The sequence below is a fragment of the Homo sapiens genome, chromosome 19 (assembly GCF_000001405.40).
Source record: "Homo sapiens chromosome 19, GRCh38.p14 Primary Assembly".
Lineage (NCBI taxonomy): Eukaryota > Metazoa > Chordata > Mammalia > Primates > Hominidae > Homo > Homo sapiens.
The window spans coordinates 52,534,176-52,556,681 of NC_000019.10; the positions used below are offsets into that span (position 1 = coordinate 52,534,176).

The 22,506-nt window shown below is 44.9% G+C and overlaps 1 protein-coding gene across 9 annotated transcripts in view, besides 4 other annotated features; it reads left to right on the forward strand.

The window, feature by feature from the left end:
* Positions 1–22,506, forward strand: part of ZNF808 (zinc finger protein 808) — a 41,086-nt gene that overhangs the window by 6,508 nt on the left and 12,072 nt on the right. For 3 of the 9 annotated variants that reach the window (NM_001321424.2, NM_001039886.4, NM_001321425.2), the window contains 3 exons: positions 9,091–9,172; positions 13,337–13,463; positions 18,932–22,161. In NM_001321424.2, the coding sequence (NP_001308353.1) occupies positions 9,110–9,172; positions 13,337–13,463; positions 18,932–21,453 (2,712 nt within the window). In that variant the 5' untranslated portion in view covers positions 9,091–9,109 and the 3' untranslated portion in view covers positions 21,454–22,161. Of the gene's footprint in view, positions 1–1,812; positions 1,872–8,741; positions 8,761–9,090; positions 9,173–13,336; positions 13,464–18,931; positions 22,162–22,506 lie in introns of those variants that run through there. The other 6 variants (XM_005258909.5, NM_001363550.2, XM_024451506.2 and 3 more) reach the window with 5 other exon arrangements.
* Positions 1,856–2,085: an enhancer, noted in NCBI's record as "active region_15049". NCBI's record gives its function as "activates an Ori minimal core promoter by ATAC-STARR-seq in GM12878 lymphoblastoid cells {active_cell/tissue: GM12878}" and the evidence as "EXISTENCE:reporter gene assay evidence [ECO:0000049][PMID:35858748]".
* Positions 1,856–2,479: a biological region, named in NCBI's record as "H3K27ac-H3K4me1 hESC enhancer GRCh37_chr19:53039321-53039907".
* Positions 1,893–2,479: an enhancer, noted in NCBI's record as "H3K27ac-H3K4me1 hESC enhancer chr19:53039321-53039907 (GRCh37/hg19 assembly coordinates)". NCBI's record gives its function as "activates a minimal SCP1, AML or CMV promoter by ChIP-STARR-seq in naive H9 embryonic stem cells {active_cell/tissue: H9 hESC(naive)}" and the evidence as "EXISTENCE:reporter gene assay evidence [ECO:0000049][PMID:30033119]".
* Positions 2,216–2,345: an enhancer, noted in NCBI's record as "active region_15050". NCBI's record gives its function as "activates an Ori minimal core promoter by ATAC-STARR-seq in GM12878 lymphoblastoid cells {active_cell/tissue: GM12878}" and the evidence as "EXISTENCE:reporter gene assay evidence [ECO:0000049][PMID:35858748]".

The window sequence follows — 22,506 nt, forward strand, 5'->3', positions numbered from 1 at the left end:
TTACAGGCGCCTGCCACCATGCCCAGCTAATTTTTGTATTAGGCTTAGTGTTAGGGTTTCTCCCCCTCCCTCGGGATGAAGCTTGTTAGCTGACAGAGATGGTCACCTCCATTACCAAGTAGAGCCAGGATGAACTATGTGTGACCAAGGGCTTTTCAAGTCCTCTTCCCTGAGGACTGATTACTGTTTATCTTGAAAACATGTCCTTAATGGGTTGTATAGAACACTGAAGTTTCTTTCTCTCTTTTCAACCTCTTAGCTGTTTGCCTCTATTTCCCATCACATTCTGGTCTAAAGCTTATTTATTAATGAAGTAGTTTTTCTTTCTTTCTCTATTATCGTCGTGGAGATGATTTCTCATTTGGGGGAAGACTCTTTGTTTTTCAATTATATTTTCTCACATTTAAAAAGTGAAGTAAAGAATATTTCCTGGGCCAGGCATGGTGACTCACGAGTGTAATCCCAGCACTTTGGGAGGCCGAGGCTGGCGGATCACTTGAAGTCAGGGTTCTAGACCAGCCTGGCCAACATGGTGAAACCCCGTCTCTACCAAAAATATGAAAGTTAGCTGGGCATGGTCGTGTGCGCTTGTAATACCAGCTACTCGAAAGGCTGAGGCAGAAGAATAGCTTCAACCCAGGAGGCAGAGGCTGCAGTGAGCCACGATCTCGCAACTGCACCCCAGCATGGGCCACAGAGAAATACTCTGTCTCAAAAATAAAAGGAAAGAAAAAAGTAAAAAAAGAGAAAGTAATAGATCTCTTTCACAAATGTGCTGGGACAACTAACTGGATATTTACATGGAAAAGAATAATATTGGATCTCTATGTCACACCATGAAAAATTTTATTTAAAAACGGGTTAAAAAAAAAAAGGCTGGGCGGGGTGGATCACATCTGTAATCCTAGCAGTTTGGGAGGCTGAGGTGGGCGGATCACAAGGTCAGGAGATCAAGACCATCCTGGCTAACATGGTGAAACCCCATCTCTACTAAAAATACAAAAAATTAGCCGAGCGTCGTGGTGGGCGCCTGTAGTCCCAGTTACTCCAAAGGCTGAGGCAGGAGAATTGCGTGAACCCGGGAGGCGGAGCTTGCAGTGAGCCAAAATCGTGCCACTGCACTCCAGCCTGGGTGACAGAGCGAGACTCCGTCTCAAAAAAAAAAAAAAAAAAAAAAAAAGAGAGAAAAGGAAAAGAGCGAGGGAGAGACGAGGGAGGGAGCCCTGCGGGAGGGGGTGTTACTTTGTCACCCAGGCTGGCCTGGACCCCCAGGTTCAGCGATTCTCCCGCCGCTGCTTCCTGAGTAGCTGGGACCTCAGGCTTCCGCCCCGTGCCCGCATCCCTGCTGTGTTTAGGCAGCAGGTGGTGACCTCACTCCTCCCTGGCCTGAGCACTCCGTCCCGCATCCCAGGCGGAGGCCCTAGGGAAGTCTCTGAAGCTGAGCACAGGGTGGACCCTCCCTCCTGAATGAATGGAGAATAGAAAGGGGGAGGATTTCTGTTATGTTCTGTGGGCCATCAGCATGAAATCGTATATTCCGCCCCGGCAGGGCTTTGCATTTCACATTTTAGTTTGCATGCCCGTTCCAGACAATTCCAGGGCTTTTGAATCATGCTTCAGCCTTCCTGGCCGCTCTCACCTCCAAACACCGAAAAAAACAGGCGCTGGGTGCGAGGCGGAGGGATGCACAGGTCCCGCCCCGGCCCCGCCCTCTGTCGGTTCTAAAGGGCAAGGTCTCTCTGCCTCGCGCCCCGCCTCTACCCCGCCCAGGCCCCGCCAAACTGTTCGCCGGCCCCGCCCAGGCCTGGCTTCAGTCCTGGGCGCGCAAACCCCGAGGCGGATCGCGTGGAGTGAAGGTCGTACCGCGGCGCGTGAGTTTTGCTCTGCCTTGTATTAAGTTTGCGCTTCCCAGGTCCCTGGCGCGTCTGTCCCTGGAAAGTGGGGTCCCCACGGACCTGGAAATTCTCGCCTGTCTTCCTTCATCCAGAGCAAATTGAGATGTCCCCGTAAGAGTCCGGAAGTTGCTTGCTTTTGGGTTTGAACTCGTCCGGAGGCTGGTCCCAACCCCGGTCTTTCTGCTATAGGGCAGTGTATACACTTCCTGTCGCTTAGTTTTCCTGGTCAAAACCCTGTGCTGACTCCACCCACCCCGTTCTTTTTAAAGTCCCCGACCCGCGAGGTGGATTCCCGCCCTGGGCGCCTCCCAGCCTCTCCGTCTTCGGCCCCTGGAGCGAAGCGCTGTGTCCCCAGTCCTGGGGAGGCTGCGTCTTCTGCCTGGTCCTGGAATTCTGCAGGTGCCACCCTTGTCTTAAGGCGCCGTCGCCCCCTACATCCCCCCTCGTGGTGGGCCCTGCTGCTCCCCAATTCTTCCCTTCGCAGTCACCGCTTCCCCTGAACCAGCGTAGGGCAGGTCCCAGCGGCTTGTCCTATGACACCGGGTATTCTTGCCTGCCCAGCTCCACCCTCCGGAAAATGCGCTTCTCCGCGATGCGGGTGTCTTACCCCAAACCCGCAGAGTGGTGCTGGTGGCAATGAGAACAGAGGGAGAAACACAGCAGGGAGGACACCGGGGGATCTGGGGTGCTAGAGAGTGGGGACAGGGGGGCGTAACAGGGAAGAGAGAATTTAACAGGGAGAGCAGAGGAGACGCAGAGATAAGAGGCGGTAATATGTAGAGATTGAGGACGATCAAAAGATTGGGGAGAAGGAGCAACAAGAGGTTAAATAAGGACCGGGCGCTTTGGCTCATGCCTGTAATCCCAGCAGTTTGGGAAGCTTAGGCGGGCGGATCACCTGAGATCCGGAGTTCGAGACCAGCCTGACCAACATGGAGAAACCCCATCCCTGCTAAAAATACAAAACTAGCTGGGCGCGGTTGCATATGCCTGTAATGTCAGCTATTAGGGAGGCTGAGGCCAGAGAATCGCTTGAACTTGGGAGGCGGAGGTTGCGGTGAGCCGAGATCGCACCATTGCACTCCAGCCTGGGCAACAAGAGTGAAACTCTTTCTCAAAAAAAAAGCGGTTAAATAAGTTGTGAGGATGGAGCAGAAGAGGTGGAAGAGGAGTAATAGAGGGAAGAAGGGGATAAATAGCAGGAGAGTAGAGGGGTACAAAATGAGGAGCACAATCCCAGGGAAAAAGAAAAGAAAACAAGAGCTAGAGAGAGAAGGGGAGAATGAGAGATATGTACAGAATTAGAGAGGGAAGCACAGTAATGAAGAAAGAGGGGCCAGGTGCAGTGGCTCATGCCTGTAATCCCAGCACTTTAGGAGACTGAGGCAGAGGGATTGCTTGAGTCCAGGAGTTCAAGACCAGCCTAGGCAAAATAGACACCCCATCTCTTTCAAAAAGAAAGAAAAAATTAACGGGGCATGATAGTGTGCAGCTGTAATTTCAGCTACTCTGTAGGCGGAGGCTGGAGGATCACTTGAGCCCAGGAGCTCCAGGCTGCTGTGAGCAGAGATCATGCCACTGTACTCCAGCCTGGTCAAAAGAGCAAGACCCTGTCTCAAAAAAAAAAAAAAAAGGGTGGGGGACTTTGGGTACAGATGAGTGTGTGAGTTCATTGGATATGATTAGTTGTGACATGTTGACTTCTGTCTATAAAATCTAATAACTTGTTTAAATTATACAGATGAGTTTGAGAATTTTAAATGTCCTATCTGTGAGCCATGTATGTTCTATAAATATTGGTATCAGAGGTTAGCTTCCACTTGGAATCCCTATTCAGACCGAGGGCAGTGACATTCAATTGTGGGTCACTCTTCCCTTTTCCCATGGTGGGGTAGGAAGTGGTGGGAAAAAAAAATCGCTGTTATTACATAATACTTTTAATTAATTAATTAATATTTTGAGATAGGGTCTGGCTCTGTCGCTCAGCTGGAGTACAATGGCGTTATCTACTCTAACTGCAGCCTCGACCTCTTAGGCTCAAGCGATCCTCCCTCAGTCTCCTGAGTAGCTGAGACCACTGGTGTGAGACACCAAGCCCAGCTAGTAGTTTTTTTTTTCTTTGTTTGTTTTTTTGTAGAAACAGGGTTTCAGTATGTTTCCCGGGGTGGTCTCAAAATCCTGGGCTCAAAGGTTCCCCCGTCTTGGCCTTGCAAAGTACTGGGATTACAGGGATGAGCCACCGCGCCCGGCCTACATACTAATTATTATTATTATTATTATTAGTTTTTTGAGGTGGAGTTTCACTCCTGTTGCCCAGGCTGGAGTGCAATGGCACAATCTTGGCTAATGACTCTCTGTGCCTTTAGAGTTGAAGCGATTCTCCTGCGATACTACCCCCTGAGTATCTGGGATTACAGGCATGCGCCACCATGCCCTGCTAATTTTGGATTAGGAGGCCGAGGCAGGAGAATCACTTGAACCCAGGAGGCAGAGGTTGTGGTGAGCTGAGATCGCACCATTGTACTTCAGCGTGGGCAATAAGAGCGAAACTCTGTCTCAAAAAAACCAAAAAAGAATGGAGCAAAACAGGAGAGGGGCATAAAATGAGCAGAAGCCCAGGGGGAAATGCAGAAAAGAAACAGATGGAGAGAGAAAGTGAGAAAGGGCTATGCATAGAATGATGGAGGGAAGCAGTAATGAAGACGAAGAGGGACCCTGGGTGCAGATGAGTGGTGAGTTGATTGGATGTGATGATGAAGTGATGACATGTTGTTTTCTCTGTTTATAAGGTAACAAATTTAAAATTAGTTTAAATTATACAGATGAGAATGAGAGTTGCCAAACTCCTGTGTCTAAGTGTGGTTCATTTTATAATGATGGCGTCAGAGGCAGCTTCCCTCTGCAACCCCTCTTCAGCCAGAGGACAGTGACTTGACTCATTCGTTGTGGATCACCCTCTTCCCTTTTCATGGCTGGGGTCGGGAGTGGGGGAGAGAAGTAGGGTAAGAAGTGACTGACTCTGTTACTATATGGAACGTGATGAAAGGAGTATTAAAAGTGCTTTTGTTCTCTTTTTGTAATTGGTTTCCTTTTTTCTAGTTCCTCTTCATTTCATTTTTTTTTTTTTTTTTTTTAATTTTTGAGATGGAGTCTCTCTGTGTCACGCAGGCTGGAGTGGAGTGGAGCAGTCTTGACTCACTGCAACCTCTGCCTCCTGGGTTCAAGGAATTCTCTGCCTCAGCCTCCCAAGCAGCTGGGATTATAGGCACCTGCAGCCACACCTGTCTGATTTTTGTATTTTTAGTAGAGACAGTTTTCACCATCTAGGCGGGACTTGTCTTGCACTCATGACCTTGTGATCCACCGCCTTGGCCTCCCAAAGTGCTATGATTACAGGCGTGAGCCACCACACTTGGCCTCAGTAATTGTTTTTTATTTTTTAATTTTAGTTTTAATTTACTTATTTTTGTTGTGGTGGTTTTTTTTTTTTTTTTTTTTTTTTTGACGGAGTTTTGGTCTTGTTGCCCAGGGTGAAGTGCAATGGTGCGATCTTGCTCACTGCAACCTTTGCCTCTGGGGTTCAAGTGATTCTCCTGCCTCAGCCTCCTGAGTAGTTATGATTACAGGCACACACCACCATGGCCGGCTAATTTTGTATTTTCAGTGGAGATGGGGTTTCTCCATCTTGGTCAGGCTGGTCTTGAACTCCTGACCTCAGGTGATCCTCCCACCTCAGCCTCCCAAGGTGCTGGGATTACAGGTATGAGCCGCTGCGCCCGGCCTTTGTTATTGTTTTGAGACACTTTTACTGTTTCCCAGGCTGGAGTGCAGTGGCAGGATCACAGCACTGTGCAGCGGCAACCTCCTGGGCTCAAGTGATTTTCCCACCTCAGCCTCCGGAGTAGCTGGGGCCACAGACACACCCCACCAGGTCCGGCTAATGTTTAGATATATGTATTTATTTATTGAGACTCTCTGTCACCCACTCTGGAGTCTAGTGGCACGACCTCGTCTCACTGCAAACTCCGCCTCCTGGGGTCAAGCGATTTTCCTGCCTCAGCCTCCTGAGTAGCTGGAGTTACAGGTGTGCACCACTATGCCCTGCTAATGTTTGTATTTTTAGTAGAGACATAGTTTCTCCATATTGGCCAGGCTGGTCTCGAACCCCTAACATTGTGGTCTTCCTGCCCCGGCCTCCCAAAGTGCTGGGATTATAGGCGTGAGTCACTATGCCTGTCCTCATTGTTTTCAAAGTATGATATATTTTCAAATATTTCTCCTTTGGCCCAAGATTTCATTAGATCTGTATTTTTTAACCATTTTAAAATTGTTTCTCTATGAAATTTTTTTGAGTTTACATTGAGGTCTGTGTGCTTTCTAGTCTTTATCATATATCGAAAACATTTTCTACTATGTGATATATGTTGTTAGGTTGTTTCAGTGTGTACTTGATAATGATATCAAGGACCTTTTTTCTTTACCCTAACATGAAAATTCAGTTGAAGTAGCCTATTCCATTTTTTTTTCTTATGTCATCTGAAAAAATGGTAATCTGTGAGCTTCTAAGTAAGTGTCCCCTCAATTCCCTCTGGTCCATAATATTCTCTACAGATGTTGAAGGATGGGCTGGATTGACTTGGAACCTTGGTTTAGCAGAGCCCATGTGTTCTTGAGAAAAGCATTTGCTCAGATCTCATTTCTACAGCTGCCTCTTTTTCAGTGTTTTAAACATCTATTGCTATGTGTGCACAGTTGTGTGTATTTTGAACATTTTTCTGGGAGTGAGTAATGATATGTTTGGGATTGATGCCATCAGAACCTTACAACTTGAAAGAAGTTTCGTTTGCTCAGGTATATAAGATGGTCCTGGAATTTTTGTTTGTTTGTTTGTTTTTCTTTGAGATGGAGTCTCGCTCTGTCACCCAGGCTGGAGTGCAGTGGCATGATCTCAGCTCACTGCAACCTCTACCTCCTGGGTTCAAGCAATTCTTTTGCCTCAGCCTCCTGAGTAGCAGGGACTACAGGCCCCCGCCACCACGCCTGGCTAATTTGTGTATTTTTAGTAGAGACGGGATGTCACCATATTGGCCAGGATGATCTTGAACTCCTGACTTTGTGATCTGCCCGCCTCAGCCTCCCAAACTGCTAGGATTACAGATGTGATCCACCCCGCCTGGCCTTTTTTTTTTTTTTAAACCGTTTTTAAATAAAATTTTTCATGGTGTGACATAGAGATCCAATATTATTCTTTTCCATGTAGATATCTAGTTAGGTATTACAAGGGTGAGTCACCGCTCCTGACTGGTCTGGAAATTTTCTAGAGGAGGAAGACCAAGGCAGCCTATTGGCCCTTTCAGGCAATCACATGGGAATCAGCCACATGTCCTTCCTCCTCACCTCAGAGCATCTCAGAATAACTTGGTGAAATGTCTCCCACTGTGAGCCTCAGTGAGCCCACCTGTAACATAGAGGTGAGGAATAAGACCGGAAAAGCTCAGTCAGAGTGACACTGACCCCTGAAATGACTGACAAAATACAGTGTGTGACTTTTCTTCTGGGAGAGGTAGTGCTCAGTTTTAACTCGAATTTTAAAGGGATTCCAGTTCTCCAAATATTAAAAAAAAAAAAGCACAAGATGATTAAAATCAGGGGATTAGACTCAAATCACCTTGAACCTTATCATCTCACAGCTTTAACCCACTTACACGACTCCATGTCCCCTGCAGGCGTCGCCCCTGAGCTCTACAATCCTGTGTCCAGTTGTCTCAGCTGTCTCCTGGGTCATCAAACAGGCATCCCCACCTTCAGGTGTCCACGAGTGGCTTTCTAAACCCCCAAACACATTTCCTTGCAGTCTGCACATCTCAGATGAGAGTGACTGTGTACTTCTGGAAACTTAGCCAAACTTGACAGCATGTATTTTATATTTGTGAAATAAATCACTTTATTTGTAAGTGTTGTAATTTATAATATAAAGAGAAACTTAGATGTATACGTGAAAAGAGTGAGAAGATACATCACTTCCAATTTTTTTTTTTTTGAGACGAATTTTCACTCTTGTGGCCCAGGCTGGAGTGCAATGCCACGATCTCAGTTCACTGCAACTTCTGACTCCTGGGATCAAGGGATTCTCCTGCGTCAGACACCCGAGTAGCTGGGATCACAGTCGACTTTCAAAATGCTTTTGGGTTGTGGGAGAAAAATGTTTGAAAACCATGTCCCTATGGGTCTGTGCCCCCAGGACCTCTCTGACCTCATCTCCTACCTGTGCCCTCCTCTCTTCCACTGCTCCAGCCCCACGGGTCGCTTTCCTTTTCCTGGGGCTGAGGTTGCTCCTGTCTCAGGGCCCTCACTTGAGCTGTCCCTCTCTCTAGGATGCTCTTCCCCTCAGCTGCAAGTGACAAGCAGCCTTTCTTTCCTAGGTCCTTGTTCTGATATCATCTTCTCCGGGTTTCCTTTGTGATCTCCCACAGCCCCCATTTGACACTGCAGCTGTGAAACCAGAAAATCTTACAGAGATCTCAGTTATTTAGAGAGTTTAGTTTGCCCAAGGTGGTCGGGGCAGAGCTTAATTTTATACATTTTATGGAGACATGAGACATCAATCAATATATGTAAGAAGTACATTGGTTTGGTCTGGGAAGGCGGGACAACTTTAAACAAAGGCAGGAAGACTTGAAGCAGGGAGGCGGCTTTTAGGTCACAGAGAAATGAGGCACAAGTAGTTACAATCTTTTGAGTTTCCTTTTTTTTTTTGAGATGAAGTCTCATTTTGTCGCCCAGGCTGGAGTGCAGTGGCACGATCTCGACTCACTGCAACCTCTGCCTCCTGGGTTCAAGTGATTCTCCTGCCTCAGCTTCCCAAGTAGGTGCCCAGATCTTTTTTTTGGGGGGGGGGTGGAGGCTTTGATCAGGGATGAGTCTGTGCCATAAAGGGGGCATCAGTGCAGCCCAGGTCCCCCCTGCTGCCTCGTGTGTGGCGGCTTCTCCATGAAGGGAGTGAGATCTGAAGACCGGGGTCAAACATACACTTGTAGGTCTTCCTGTGGGACTTTCTTACCTCTGCATGATCTCTGGTGCAGTGGGCAGTGGGGGACTTCTTTCTACAGGGTGACATCTCCCGGTTCATGTGGTTTTGTCACAGGAAGGGAGTGAGTCATTTCTAACATGAAGTCTTATTTTTTTTCACATACAGGATTGATTTCTAAAGACTCATGTTACGTGAGGAAGCAGCTCAGAAGAGGAAAGGAAAGGAGTCAGGCATGGCTCTTCCTCAGGTGAAGTGATATTCCTCTGTGGATTAATCTGTCTCTTTCCTTTCTGAAATGTAGTAGTATTATATTGTATTGTAGTAATGTATTGTAGCAGCCAGTCTTTTCTGAGTCTGAAGCATTTTGCCTGACACGTTCACTTGCACTCACCCATGCCTGCCCTCAGTTCCTCTCAGGTGCTCTGAGATTCCATCTCCTGTGACCCAGTGACATGAACTTGGGAAGAGGCTCCACTGGGCATGGTCTTGGGAAGGGCTCACACCCAGACGTGGATAAACATGGGGTGTGGGCCCGTTGATGTCAGAGCTGCTGGGCAGCCTGGATTGTTCAGGGGCCACATCTGGATGTCAGCTCAGAGAAACTACATATGAAATACGTATGTTAATGTGCGCAGATGTGTGGTAAATTCTGGGAAAGGAGACGAATAAGAGGAGATATTTTGTATCTGATTTGGTAATGCATTTGAAGCCACACTAGTAGATCAAGATGTCTCTGTGTCCAAATTTTTTTTTTTTTTTTAAGAGACAAGATGTTGGTCCCAGTGCAGTGGCTTACACCTGTAATCCCAGCATTTTGGGAGGCCAAGGCAGGAAGATCACTTGAGGTCAGGACTTAGAGACCAGCCTGGCTAACATGGTGAAACCCCATCTCTACTAAAAATACAAAAATTAGCTGCATGTGGTGGTGCATGCCTGTAATCTCAGCTACTCAGGAGGCTGAGGTAGGAGAATCACTTGAGTCCAGGAGGTGGAGGTTACTGTATGCCGAAATTGTGCCACTGCACTCCAGCCTGGGAGATGGAGCGAGACTCTGTCTCAAAAGAAAAAAGAGAGAGAGAGAAGGTGTCGCTCTGTGGCTTAGTTCTGGAGTACAATGGCACAATTCAGAGTTTACAGCAGCCTCAAACTCCTGAGCTCAACTAATCGCTACTGTAGCCTCCCAAAGAGCCTGAATGATAGGCATGGGTCACCATATGTATGTGTGTATATTATGTATGTATTTATTTATTTTAAGATGGAGTCTCAGTCAGCAAAGCTGGAGCGCAGTGGTACGATCTCGGCTCTCTGCAACCTCCCCCTCCCAGTTTCAAGCAATTCTTCTGCCTCAGCCTACCAAGTTGCTGGGACTACAGGCATGCACCACCACACCCAGCTAATTTTTGTATTTTTAGTTGAGACGGGGTTTCATCATGTTCGTTATGCTGATCTGGAACTCCTGACCTCATGATCTGCCTATCTCGGACTCCCTAAGTGCTGAGGTTAAAGGTGCACACCACCATGTCAGGCCTTATTTTTTATATTGTATTTTTATTTTGTTGTCTAGGCTGGAGTGCAGTGGTGCAATCAAAGCTTGCTTTAGCCTTGATATCCTGGCCTCAAGTGATCCTCCCCTCTTGGTCTCCCAAATTGCTGGCATTCCAAATGGGAGACAGCCAGCTTGGCTGGACTCTGCACATTTTTGAGATGGAGTGTCGCTCTGTTGCCCATGTTGGATTGTAGTGGCGGCATCTCAGCTCACTACAACCTCTGCCTTCTGGCTTCAAGCAATTCTTTTGCCTCAGCCTCCTGAGTATCTGGGATTACAGGCATTCGCTGTCACGCCTGGCTAATTATTTTGTATTTTTAGTAGAGATGGGGTTTCACCGTATTGGTCAGGCTGGTCGAACTACTGACCTTGTGATTTGTTCACCTCGGCCTCCCAAAGTTCTGGGATTTACAGGCCTGAGCCACTGCACTTGGCTAAAGTCTGCACTTTTAATGACTGTCAATGCAATGGAAAGTGGAGATAGGCATCAGTGGTACAGGATGCTTTATTACATCATTGATTTTATTTTATTTTTAAATTTGTTTTGAGTTGAGTCTCTGTTGTCCAGGCAGGAGTGCAGTGGGGTGATTTTGTTTCACTGTAGCCTCTGACTCCCAGATTACAGTGATTCTGTTGCCTCAGCCTCTCCAGTAGCTTGGATTAGAGGTGGGCCACCACGTGGGTAACGCCATGATGTGATGTGTGTGCATGAATACATGGGTGGATAAGCCCATGGTTTATGTAGAAAACACAACATTTGCAATAAGTTTTATTTTTTATAATAATTGTAATGATTTTAAGTATTTTTCATTGTTGTCAACTATCACAATAATGAGTTAATGGTAAGATGGGGCCGGGCCCGGTTGCTCACACCTGTAATCCCACCACTATGGAAGGCTGAGGTGGGTAGCTCATGACATCAGGAGTTCAAGACCATCCTGGCTAAGATGGTGAAACCCTGTCGCTGCTAAATATACAAAAATTAGATGGATGTGGTGGCAGGTGCCTCAAATCCTAGCTACTGGGGAGGCTGAAGCAAGAGAATTGCTTGAACCTGGGTGGCACAGGTTGCAGTGAGCTGAGAGATTGTGCCACTGTATTCCAGCCTGTGCAATAGAGTGAGACTCCATCTGGAAAAAAAAAAAAATAAGAAGTATTGGGAAGGATTATATGTATGCCTGTGTGTGTCCATTCAGCGACCTTGTAGGATGCTCCGTGTTCTTACCCTGGGACCTTTGTCACATTCTCTGCACTAGATAAACCCGTGTCAGTTTAGTTTAAAGCTGTATCTGTTACTTCAGCGTTTATATTCAAATGTGAATCCCAGACATCTGGATTCAGTGCTTGTGTTGACATTTTTAGCTATTTGATTTGTGGTAATTTTCCTAGTATGTGTGATGCACTTGTGTCCAAGTACAGATCTTTCTTCATGGGACAGTATGTTATTTTATGGCTTAAGACATGGGAAGCACTTAGAACAGTGTATAGCACATGGGAAGCATTCAAAAATGTTAGTCATGGCTATTGCTGTCATCATAACAGTTTTTTTTTTTTTTTTGGAGACAGAGTATTGCTTTGTCACCCAGGCTGAAGTGCAGTGGCATGATATTGGGTCATTGCAACCTCTGCCTCCTGATTTCAAGCAATTCTCCAGCCTCAGCCTCCCAAGTATCAGGGATTACAGGCACCCACCACCACACCCAGCTAATTTTTGTGTTTTTACTAGAGAAGGGGTTTCAGCGTGTTCCCAGGCGGGTCTCAAACTCCTGACCTCATGATCCACCTGCCTTGGCCTCCCAAAGTGCTGGGATTACAGGCATGAGCCACTGTGCCTGACCGATCATGATAGTTTTTAGATTTGGACTTTTCTTTCAAAGCCAATGGACTCTGTCCTCTCTGAAACACCGCTTGTATCTTAGTTCATCTAGAGACTAAATATCGCCTTGTATGTTGAACATAATAGCTGACATGTCTGTAGAGAAAACCCTGTGTTTGCTTTTTTTTTTTTTTTTTTTTGAGATGGAATCTTGCTCTGTTGCCAAGCTAAAGTGAAGTGGTGCGATCTCGGCTCACTGCAACCTCCGCCTCCTGGATTCAAGCAATTCTCCTGCCTCAGCCTCTTGAGTAGCTGGGAGTACAGGCCTGCGCCACAACACCTAGCTAATTTTTGTATTTTCAGTAGAGATGTGGTTTCGCCATGTTGGCCAGGAAGGTCTTGATATCTTGACCACATTGTCTACCTGCCTTGGTCTCCCAAAATGCTAGGATTACAGGCGAGAGCCATTGCCTGGAATTGCTTTTTTTTTTTTTTTTTTTTTTTAGATGGAGTGTCAGTCTGTTGCCCAGGATGGAGGGCAGTGGTGCGATCTTGGCTCACTGCAGCCTCCATCTCCTGGGTTCAAGTGATTCTCCTGCCTCAGCCTCCTGTGTAGCTGGGATTACAGGTGCCTGCCACCATGTCCGTCTAATTTTTATATTTTTAGTAGAGACAGGTTTTCACCACGTTGACCAGGCTGGTCTCAAACTCTTGACCTCAAATAATCTGCCCAACTTGGCCTCCTGAAGTGTTGGGATTACAGGCATGAACCACCTCACCCGGCCCTGTGTTTCCTTTTTATTTATATAGTTTTTATATTGTCCATAAAATCGAGACTTCCATAGTGACTTATGGGATCTTAAAATCTTTCAAGGAAAAGTACAATAAAATGCAACTATACGGAAAAAATAGTCAAAAATACCTTAACATCCTTTTGTCAGAACACAGTCTTTGATCAAATAAATACTTATTTTCCCTTTTCTCATTTCCTGTGAAGGTGATAACTCAATCCTCCATAATGTTTTGTTGAAATGTATGTTTCATTTTAGGGACGCTTGACTTTCAGGGATGTGGCTATAGAATTCTCATTGGCAGAGTGGAAATTCCTGAACCCTGCACAGAGGGCTTTGTACAGGGAAGTGATGTTGGAGAACTACAGGAACCTGGAGGCTGTGGGTGAGGAAAATGTCCCTGCAGACATGAGGAGTCTGCTCCTGTCTATCTTGGCTCTTCCTGGTTTTGTATTCTCTTTTGTGATTTTGCCCCATCCATGCTGGTTTTTTTTTTTTTTTTTTTTGACATGGAGTTTTGCTCTTGTTTCCCAGGCTGGAGAGCAATGGTATATCGGTTCACCATAACCTCCGCCTTCCAGGTTCAAGTGATTCTCCTGCCTGAGCCTCCTGAGTAGCTGGGATTACAGGCATGCGCCACCATGCCCAGCTAATTTTGTATTTTTAGTGGACACAGGGTTTCTCCATGTTGGTCAGGCTCGTCTCTAACTCCAGACCTCAGGTTATCCGCCCACCTCACCCTCCCAAAATGCTGGGATTACAGGCGTGAGCCACCATGCCCAGCTCATTCTGGTTTTTGAGGAGCATCACAGAAGCGTCTCTCACTGGCACTGTGACAACGTTCATCCCATAAACTAATGATCATCTTCTCTAAGCAGCAGTCAGTGGTGTTGCAATTCCTCCCAGCGAGGACATCATTCGGGCTCACAGCCTCATATGTATGAGGCTCTTGACTGAACTCTTGTTCATGTCACATTTTTCACACCAATATGTGTCACTGTTCATTTTTAACAAGAAAACCTATGTTCAGTTTGTTGTAGGATCAACCCTGTAAGAGATATGGTTTTCATCAATCTTATTGAGGGAGCTTGTGAGGTTGAATGAGGTTTCCATAGTTTAGTTCTACTGTCATTTCCTTAAGACACAGTGCCTTTCAACTTGTTCATTTCTATGTTGTTGTTGTTTTTTTCTCATAGTCTTGCTCTGTTGCCCAGGCTTGAGTGCAGTGGCATGATCTTGGCTCACCACAACCTCCACCTTTTGGGTTCAAGTGATTCTCCTGCCTCAGCCTCTTGAGTGGCTGGGATTACAGGCATGTGTCACCACACCCGGGTAATTTTTGGTGGTTCTATTACAGATGGCAGTTTCACCATGTTGGCCAGGCTGGTTTTGATAGCCTGGCCTGATGTGATTCAGCTGCCTTGGATTCCCAAAGTGCTGGGATTACAGGCATGAGCCACAGCCCCTGGCCCATCCGAGTTGTTTTTAAGGCTGAATAATATTCCATTGTATGTGTATACCACATTTTCCTCACATATTTATCTGTCGATGCACATCTTTACTATTATAAATAATACTACCAGGCTGGGTGCGGTGGCTCACGCCTGTAATCCCAGCAATTTGGAAGGCTGAGGTGGGTGAATCACCTGAGGTCAGGAGTTCGAGTCCAGCTTGGCCAACTTGGTGAAACCACATTTCTATTAGAGGTACAGTTTTTTTTTTGTTTCTGTTTTTTTTAAGATGGAATATTGCTCTGTCACCCAGGCTCAAGTGCAGTGCAGTGGTGTAATCTCAGCTCACTGTAACCTCCACATCCCAGGTCAAGCAATCTCATACCTCACGCTTCTGAGCTGTTGGGATTACACACATGCACCACCATGCCCGGCTAATGTTTTGTATTTTTTTTAGTAGAGACAGTGTTTCACCATGCTGGCCTGGCCGGTCTTGAACTCCTGACCTCCTGATGCACCCGCTCATCCTCCCAATGTGCTGGTATTACAGACATGAGCCACTGCACTCAGCCTAGCTCTGTTTTCACAAACACATCTCTACCTACTGTGCCAGGGGATCCTTGTTCACCCCCATGGTCTACTGTACTCTTCATAGAGTTTACTTGTTTGTTTGTGTGTATGCCTTTCTGGTATCTACACAGGGGATATTGTTGAGTATATTCTTGAAACTGGAAATCAGAGTCACTTAATTTAAGGATGTAAAACTGCTTTCACCTCAGGCCACCATACTGCTGCTTTTTTGGATCTCTTTCATTCTTGTCCCTTGCCCATATTGTAATTTGAATATTTAACCTTGGGTCAATATTTTAACATTTGCTCAATTAGTTCCACTTTCGTCCAAGCTCAAGATTTGGTCTATCCTAGTGGAATTATATTCCCACAGAGGTGCATGCACAAAGTTTACTCCTACATGCCCATTACTTCCTGCTCTCCACCCTTGCCCTTCCTTTCCTGGCCTTGACTCACATGATACATTGATCTGGATGCAAATACTGTTTCTTTCCAGCCTATTGATTTTGTAATGCTGAACACCCCAATTTCCCCGTGAGCCCCTCCCCTCCAACACCACTCTCACTGAGTAAGTCAAGACCTTGTTCATCCACTGGACAAAATTATAGGAGGCCGCTTAAATCAGTGTGTGCAGGGCATCATGACTCAGCACATGATCCATGAGGGATGGCTTCAGAACCACTGTCAGCAGCGCAGCTCAGCGCTTGTGTCCCAGCTCAGCCTTTGTATCCCCCTTGATGTACTTCTATCTGTTCTCCTTGTATTTTCTGGTCTGGTCATTTTCTGTACTGCCTGTGCTGACTATTGTGCCTAAGAACATGTCGTGGGATCCTTCATGCCCAGGATTAAGTCTTGTCCCTCACTTACCTTATGTGCAAACTGGGGTCATGTCCATGAACACTGTGGGCCTCCTGTCATTATTTGAGAAATAATGATAATTTGCCTCCAGGGTTGGTTTTTTTTTTTTGTTTTTGAGATGGAGTTTTGCTCCCGTTGCCCAGGCTGAAGTTCAATTGCACAATCTCAGTTCACCACAACCTCCACCTCCTGGATTTAAGCGATTCTCCTTCCTCAGCCTTCTGAGTAGCTGGGATTAGAGGCATGCACCACCACACCTGCCTAATTTTGTATTTTTAGTACAGATGGGGTTTCCCCATGTTGGCTAGGCTGGTCTCAAACTCCTGACCTCAAGTGATCTACCTACCTCAGCCTCCCAAAGTGCTGGGATTACAGGCATGAACCACTGTGTCCGGGCTATTTTTTTTTTTTTAATGGAGTTTCCCTCTTGTTGCCCAGGCTGGAGTGCAATGGTGCAATCTTGGCTCACTGCAACCTCGACTTCCTGGGTTCAAGTGATTGTCCTGCCTCAGGCTCCCAAGTAGCTGGGATTATGCCTGGCACAAGCCTGGCTAATTTTTGTATTTTTAGGAGAGATGGGGTTTCTCCATATTGGTCAGGCTGGTCTTGAACTCCCAACCTCAGGTGATTCATCCACCTGCTTTTTAAAACAAGTGAATACTATTAGATGGCTTCATATAAGTTTTATAGTACATTCTCAACTTCCTTTGTTTAATAAGATTTTTCAGCCTTCAGTGATGTTGATGATGAGATGCCCCTTTTCCTGCCTCACTCATCTCACTGTTCTGTCAGAAATAGCTTAGACTGGCCAGCTTCAGTGGCTTTCACCTCTAATTCTAGCACTTTGAAAGGCTGAGGTGGGTAGATGGCTTGAGGTCAGGAGTTTGAGACCAGTCAGGCAAACATAATGAAACCTTGAATCTACTAAATTAAAAAAAATTGGGCATGATGACTCATGCCTATAATCCCAAACTTTTGGGAGGGCGAGACGGGTGGATCACCTGAGGTCAGAAGTTCAAGACCAGCCTGGCCAACGTGGTGAAACCCCGTCTCTAGTAAAAATACAAAAATTAGCTGGGCGTTTTGGTATGCACCTGTTATCCCAGCTTCTTGTGAGGCTGAGACAGGAGAGTCACTTGAACCTGGGAGGTGGATGGTGCAGTGAACCATGATCATGCCACTGCACTTCAGCCAAGGTGACAGAGTTAGATTCCATTTGCCACCAAAAAAAAAAAAAAAAGTTAGCCAGGCATGGTGGCATGTGTCTGTACTCCCTGCCTAGCTGTTAGTCCATTCTTAGTTCTTAAAATGTTGTATATTTTCTTGACCTCATACATCAGAAGGTAGTGATCTTAACATGTATTTCAGTTCTTATATTGTGTGCTGGTGGTTAAGTAGAAGTTGTGGCTTTTTTCTTCAGAGGAAGTTGTTTAGAATTCTGCGGGCTGTATAAATGTACTTATTTGCTTGCTGGTTTTATCATGGGTTACAATATTTTATTAATTAATTTTATAATTTTACATATGGCTTTTCGGTATGTGGTATGCAATATAACTGACACACTGCACTCGTTAATGTCACAAAGTGCCACCAGGTGCAGTGGCTCACACCTGTGATCCCAGAAATTTGGGAGGTCAAGGGGGGTGGATTACTTAAGGTCAGGAGTTTGAGACCAGCCTGGCCAACATGGTGAAACCACATCTCTACTAAAAACACAAAAATTAGCCAGGTGTAGTGGTGTGTGCCTGTAATCCCAGGTACTCAGGAGGTTGAGGAAGGAGAATCACTTCAACCCAGCAGGCAGAGGTTGCAGTGAGCTGAGATTACACCATGACGCTCCAAGTTGGAGTGCAAGACTCCTTCTCAAAACAATAAAAATGGAAACAAATTTTTTTTTTTTTTTGAGATGGAGTCTCACTCTGTCGCCCAGGCTGGAGTGCAGTGGCATGATCTCAGATCACTGCAAAGTCCACCTCCTGGGTTCATACCATTCTCCTGCCACAGCCTCCCGAGTAGCTGGGACTGCAGGCGCCTGTCACCACGCCTGGCTATTTTTTTGTGTTTTTAGTAGAAACAGAGTTTCACCGTGTTATCCAGGATGGTCTCGATCTCCTGACCTTGTGATCCACCCTTCTCGGCCTCCCAAAGTGCTGGGATTACAGGCATGAGCCACCGCACCCGGCCCAAAAATTTTTTCAAAAGTCACTAAGTGCCTGTTCTGTGTAGATATATATAATTTTATGACATTTATTTAGAAAAATATTGTACTAACTTTTTTCTTTTTTTTTTTTTTCTGTTTGAGGCAGAGTCTACTTTGCCACCCTGGCAGGAGTGCAGTGGTGTGATCTTGGCTCACTGCAACCTCTGCCTCCCGTGTTGAAGTGATTCTTGTGCCTCAGCCTCCTAAGTAGCTGTGACTACAGGCACGGACCATCACACCTGGCTAATTTTTGTAATCTTTTCTTATCTTCTCAGTGCTATAATTGTTTGATAATACAGAATTTCCAGTGCTTTTGGTTATCCTTACATGAGCTTGTTGTGGATTATTTACCAATATAGTATGTTGTGTGGTTTTTTTTTTTTTTTAGCATTTATTTGTACACAGTAAATATGGTTTAAATATGAAGAATATATATTTTTCTCTTCCTTGATGTGACAGTGATATGTTTTTTGCAAATTGTGATGCACTTCAAGGTCACAGTGGAAAAATACTCCTTACTTTAGGCTTATACATATTTGTGCCCTGTCAGTGTTTTGTCATGATATAGGAAATAGACTTTCATAGAATTGATTTGAAGGACATGTAATTGCCCTTTATTTACTAAAGAATCTCACTCTTTTTGTGTTCCTAAACTTTGAATATCATGTTTGGGAATTTCAAAATAAGTATTGTTTTTTGTGTCATATTTACACACTTCAGTATGATTTACCATCTGTACTTAATTGGAAATGTATTGGTGTTTATATTTTGTAGATATCTCTTCCAAACACATGATGAAGGAGGTCTTGTCAACAGGGCAAGGCAATAGAGAAGTGATCCACACAGGGACATTGCAAAGACATCAAAGTTATCACATTGGAGACTTTTGCTTCCAGGAAATTGAGAAAGAAATTCATAACATTGAGTTTCAGTGTCAAGAAGATGAAAGAAATGGCCATGAAGCACCCACGACAAAAATAAAAAAGTTGACTGGTAGCACAGACCAACATGATCACAGGCATGCTGGAAACAAGCCTATTAAAGATCAGCTTGGATCAAGCTTTTATTCACATCTGCCTGAACTCCACATATTTCAGATCAAAGGTGAAATTGCTAATCAACTTGAGAAGTCTACCAGTGATGCTTCCTCAGTTTCAACATCCCAAAGAATTTCCTGTAGGCCCCAAATCCATATTTCTAATAACTATGGGAATAATCCCCTGAATTCTTCATTACTCCCACAAAAACAGGAAGTACACATGAGAGAAAAATCTTTCCCATGTAATGAGAGTGGCAAAGCCTTTAATTGTAGCTCACTCTTAAGGAAACACCAGATACCCCATTTAGGAGACAAACAATATAAATGTGATGTATGTGGCAAGCTCTTTAATCACAAGCAATACCTTGCATGCCATCGTAGATGTCACACTGGAGAGAAACCTTACAAGTGTAAAGAGTGTGGAAAGTCCTTCAGTTACAAGTCATCCCTTACATGCCATCATAGACTTCATACTGGAGTAAAACCTTACAAGTGTAATGAGTGTGGCAAGGTCTTTCGTCAAAATTCAGCCCTTGTAATTCATAAGGCAATTCATACTGGAGAGAAACCTTACAAGTGTAATGAATGTGGCAAGGCTTTTAATCAACAATCACACCTTTCACGCCATCAAAGACTTCATACTGGAGTGAAACCTTACAAATGTAAGATTTGTGAGAAGGCTTTTGCGTGTCATTCCTATCTGGCAAACCATACTAGAATTCATAGTGGAGAGAAAACATACAAGTGTAATGAGTGTGGTAAGGCTTTTAATCATCAATCAAGCCTTGCACGTCATCATATACTTCATACTGGAGAGAAACCTTACAAATGTGAAGAATGTGACAAAGTTTTCAGTCAGAAATCAACCCTTGAGAGACATAAGAGAATTCATACTGGAGAGAAACCATACAAATGTAAGGTTTGTGATACAGCTTTCACGTGTAATTCACAGCTGGCACGACATAGAAGAATTCACACTGGAGAGAAAACTTACAAGTGTAATGAGTGTCGCAAGACCTTCAGCCGCAGGTCATCCCTTCTATGCCATCGTAGACTTCATAGTGGTGAAAAACCTTACAAGTGTAATCAGTGTGGCAATACCTTCCGTCACCGGGCATCCCTTGTATACCATCGTAGACTTCACACTCTAGAGAAATCTTACAAATGTACGGTTTGTAACAAGGTTTTCATGCGTAATTCAGTCCTGGCTGTACATACTAGAATTCACACTGCAAAGAAACCTTACAAGTGTAATGAATGTGGGAAAGCTTTTAATCAACAATCACATCTTTCACGTCATCGTAGACTTCATACTGGAGAGAAACCTTACAAATGTGAAGCATGTGACAAAGTTTTTGGTCAGAAATCAGCTCTTGAGTCACATAAGAGAATTCATACTGGAGAGAAACCATACAGATGTCAGGTTTGTGACACAGCTTTCACGTGGAATTCACAGCTGGCACGACATACAAGAATTCACACTGGAGAAAAAACTTACAAGTGTAATGAGTGTGGGAAGACCTTCAGTTACAAGTCATCACTTGTATGGCATCGTAGACTTCATGGTGGAGAGAAATCTTACAAATGTAAGGTTTGTGACAAGGCTTTCGTGTGTCGTTCCTATGTGGCAAAACATACTAGAATTCACAGTGGAATGAAACCTTACAAGTGTAATGAGTGCAGCAAGACCTTCAGTAACAGGTCATCCCTTGTATGCCATCGTAGAATTCATAGTGGTGAGAAACCTTACAAGTGTAGTGAGTGCAGCAAGACGTTCAGTCAGAAGGCAACCCTTCTATGCCATCGTAGACTTCATAGTGGTGAGAAACCTTACAAGTGTAACGACTGTGGCAATACCTTCCGTCACTGGTCATCCCTTGTATACCATCGTAGACTTCATACTGGAGAGAAATCTTACAAATGTACGGTTTGTGACAAGGCTTTCGTGCGTAATTCATACCTGGCAAGACATATTAGAATTCACACTGCAGAGAAACCTTACAAGTGTAATGAATGTGGAAAGGCTTTTAATGAACAATCACACCTTTCACGTCATCATAGAATTCATACTGGAGAGAAACCTTACAAATGTGAAGCATGTGACAAAGTTTTCAGTCGCAAATCACACCTTAAAAGACATAGGATAATTCATACTGGAGAGAAACCTTACAAGTGTAATGAGTGTGGCAAAGCCTTTAGTGACCGGTCAACACTTATTCACCATCAGGCAATTCATGGTATAGGGAAATTTGATTAATATAATGATTGTCACAAAGTCTTCAGTAACACTACAACAATTGCAAATCATTGGAGAATCCATGATGAAGAGAAATCTTCTGAGTGTAATAAATGTGGCATGTTTTTCAGACATTGTTCATACATTGCAGTTCATTGGCAACCTCATACTGGAGAGAAACCTTACAAATGTCATGATTGAGGCAAGGTCTTCAGTCAAGCTTCATCCTATGCAAAACAGGAGAATTCATACAGGAGAGAAACCTCACAAGTGTGATGATTGTGGCAAAGCCTTTACTTCACATTCACACCTCGTTGGACATCAGAGAATCCATACTGGACAGAAATCTTGCAAATGTCATCAGTGTGGCAAGGTCTTCAGTCCGAGGTCACTCCTTGCAGAACATGAGAAAATTCATTTTTGAGATAACTGTTCCCAATGCAGTGAGTATAGCAAACCATCAAGCATTAATTGACATTGGAGTCAATTCAGCATTGACTTGAGTTTGTGTTGACTTAACATTGAGTTCAAGCCTTAATTGACATTCAAGTGTTTATGTTAAGAGGATGGGGCCAGGTGTGGTGGCTCAGGCCTGTAATCCCAGCACGTTGGAAGACCAAGGCACATAGGTCACTTGAGGTCAGAAGTTTGAAACCACCATGGCCAACAGATGTCGGCCACTTTCGCCATCCTGTTTTTTGTTTCTTATTTTCTTATTTATTTATTTATTTATTTTGAGATGGAGTGTCACTCTTGTTGCCCAGCCTAGAGTGCAATGATGTGATCTCAGCTCACCACAACCTCCGCCTCCCGGGTTCAAGCGATTCCTCTGCCTCAGCCTCCCTAGTTGCTGGGATTACAGGCATGTGCCACCACACCCGGCTAATTTTTTGTATTTGTAGTAGAGACGGGGTTTCTCCATATTAGGCTGGTCTTGAACTCCCAACCTCAGGTGATCTGCCCACCTTGGCATCCCAAAGTCCTGGGATTACAGGCATGAGCCACCGTACCCGGTCTTGTTTCTTATTTTCTATTTTTTATTTTTTTGAGAGGCAGGAGAATGGCGGGTGAACC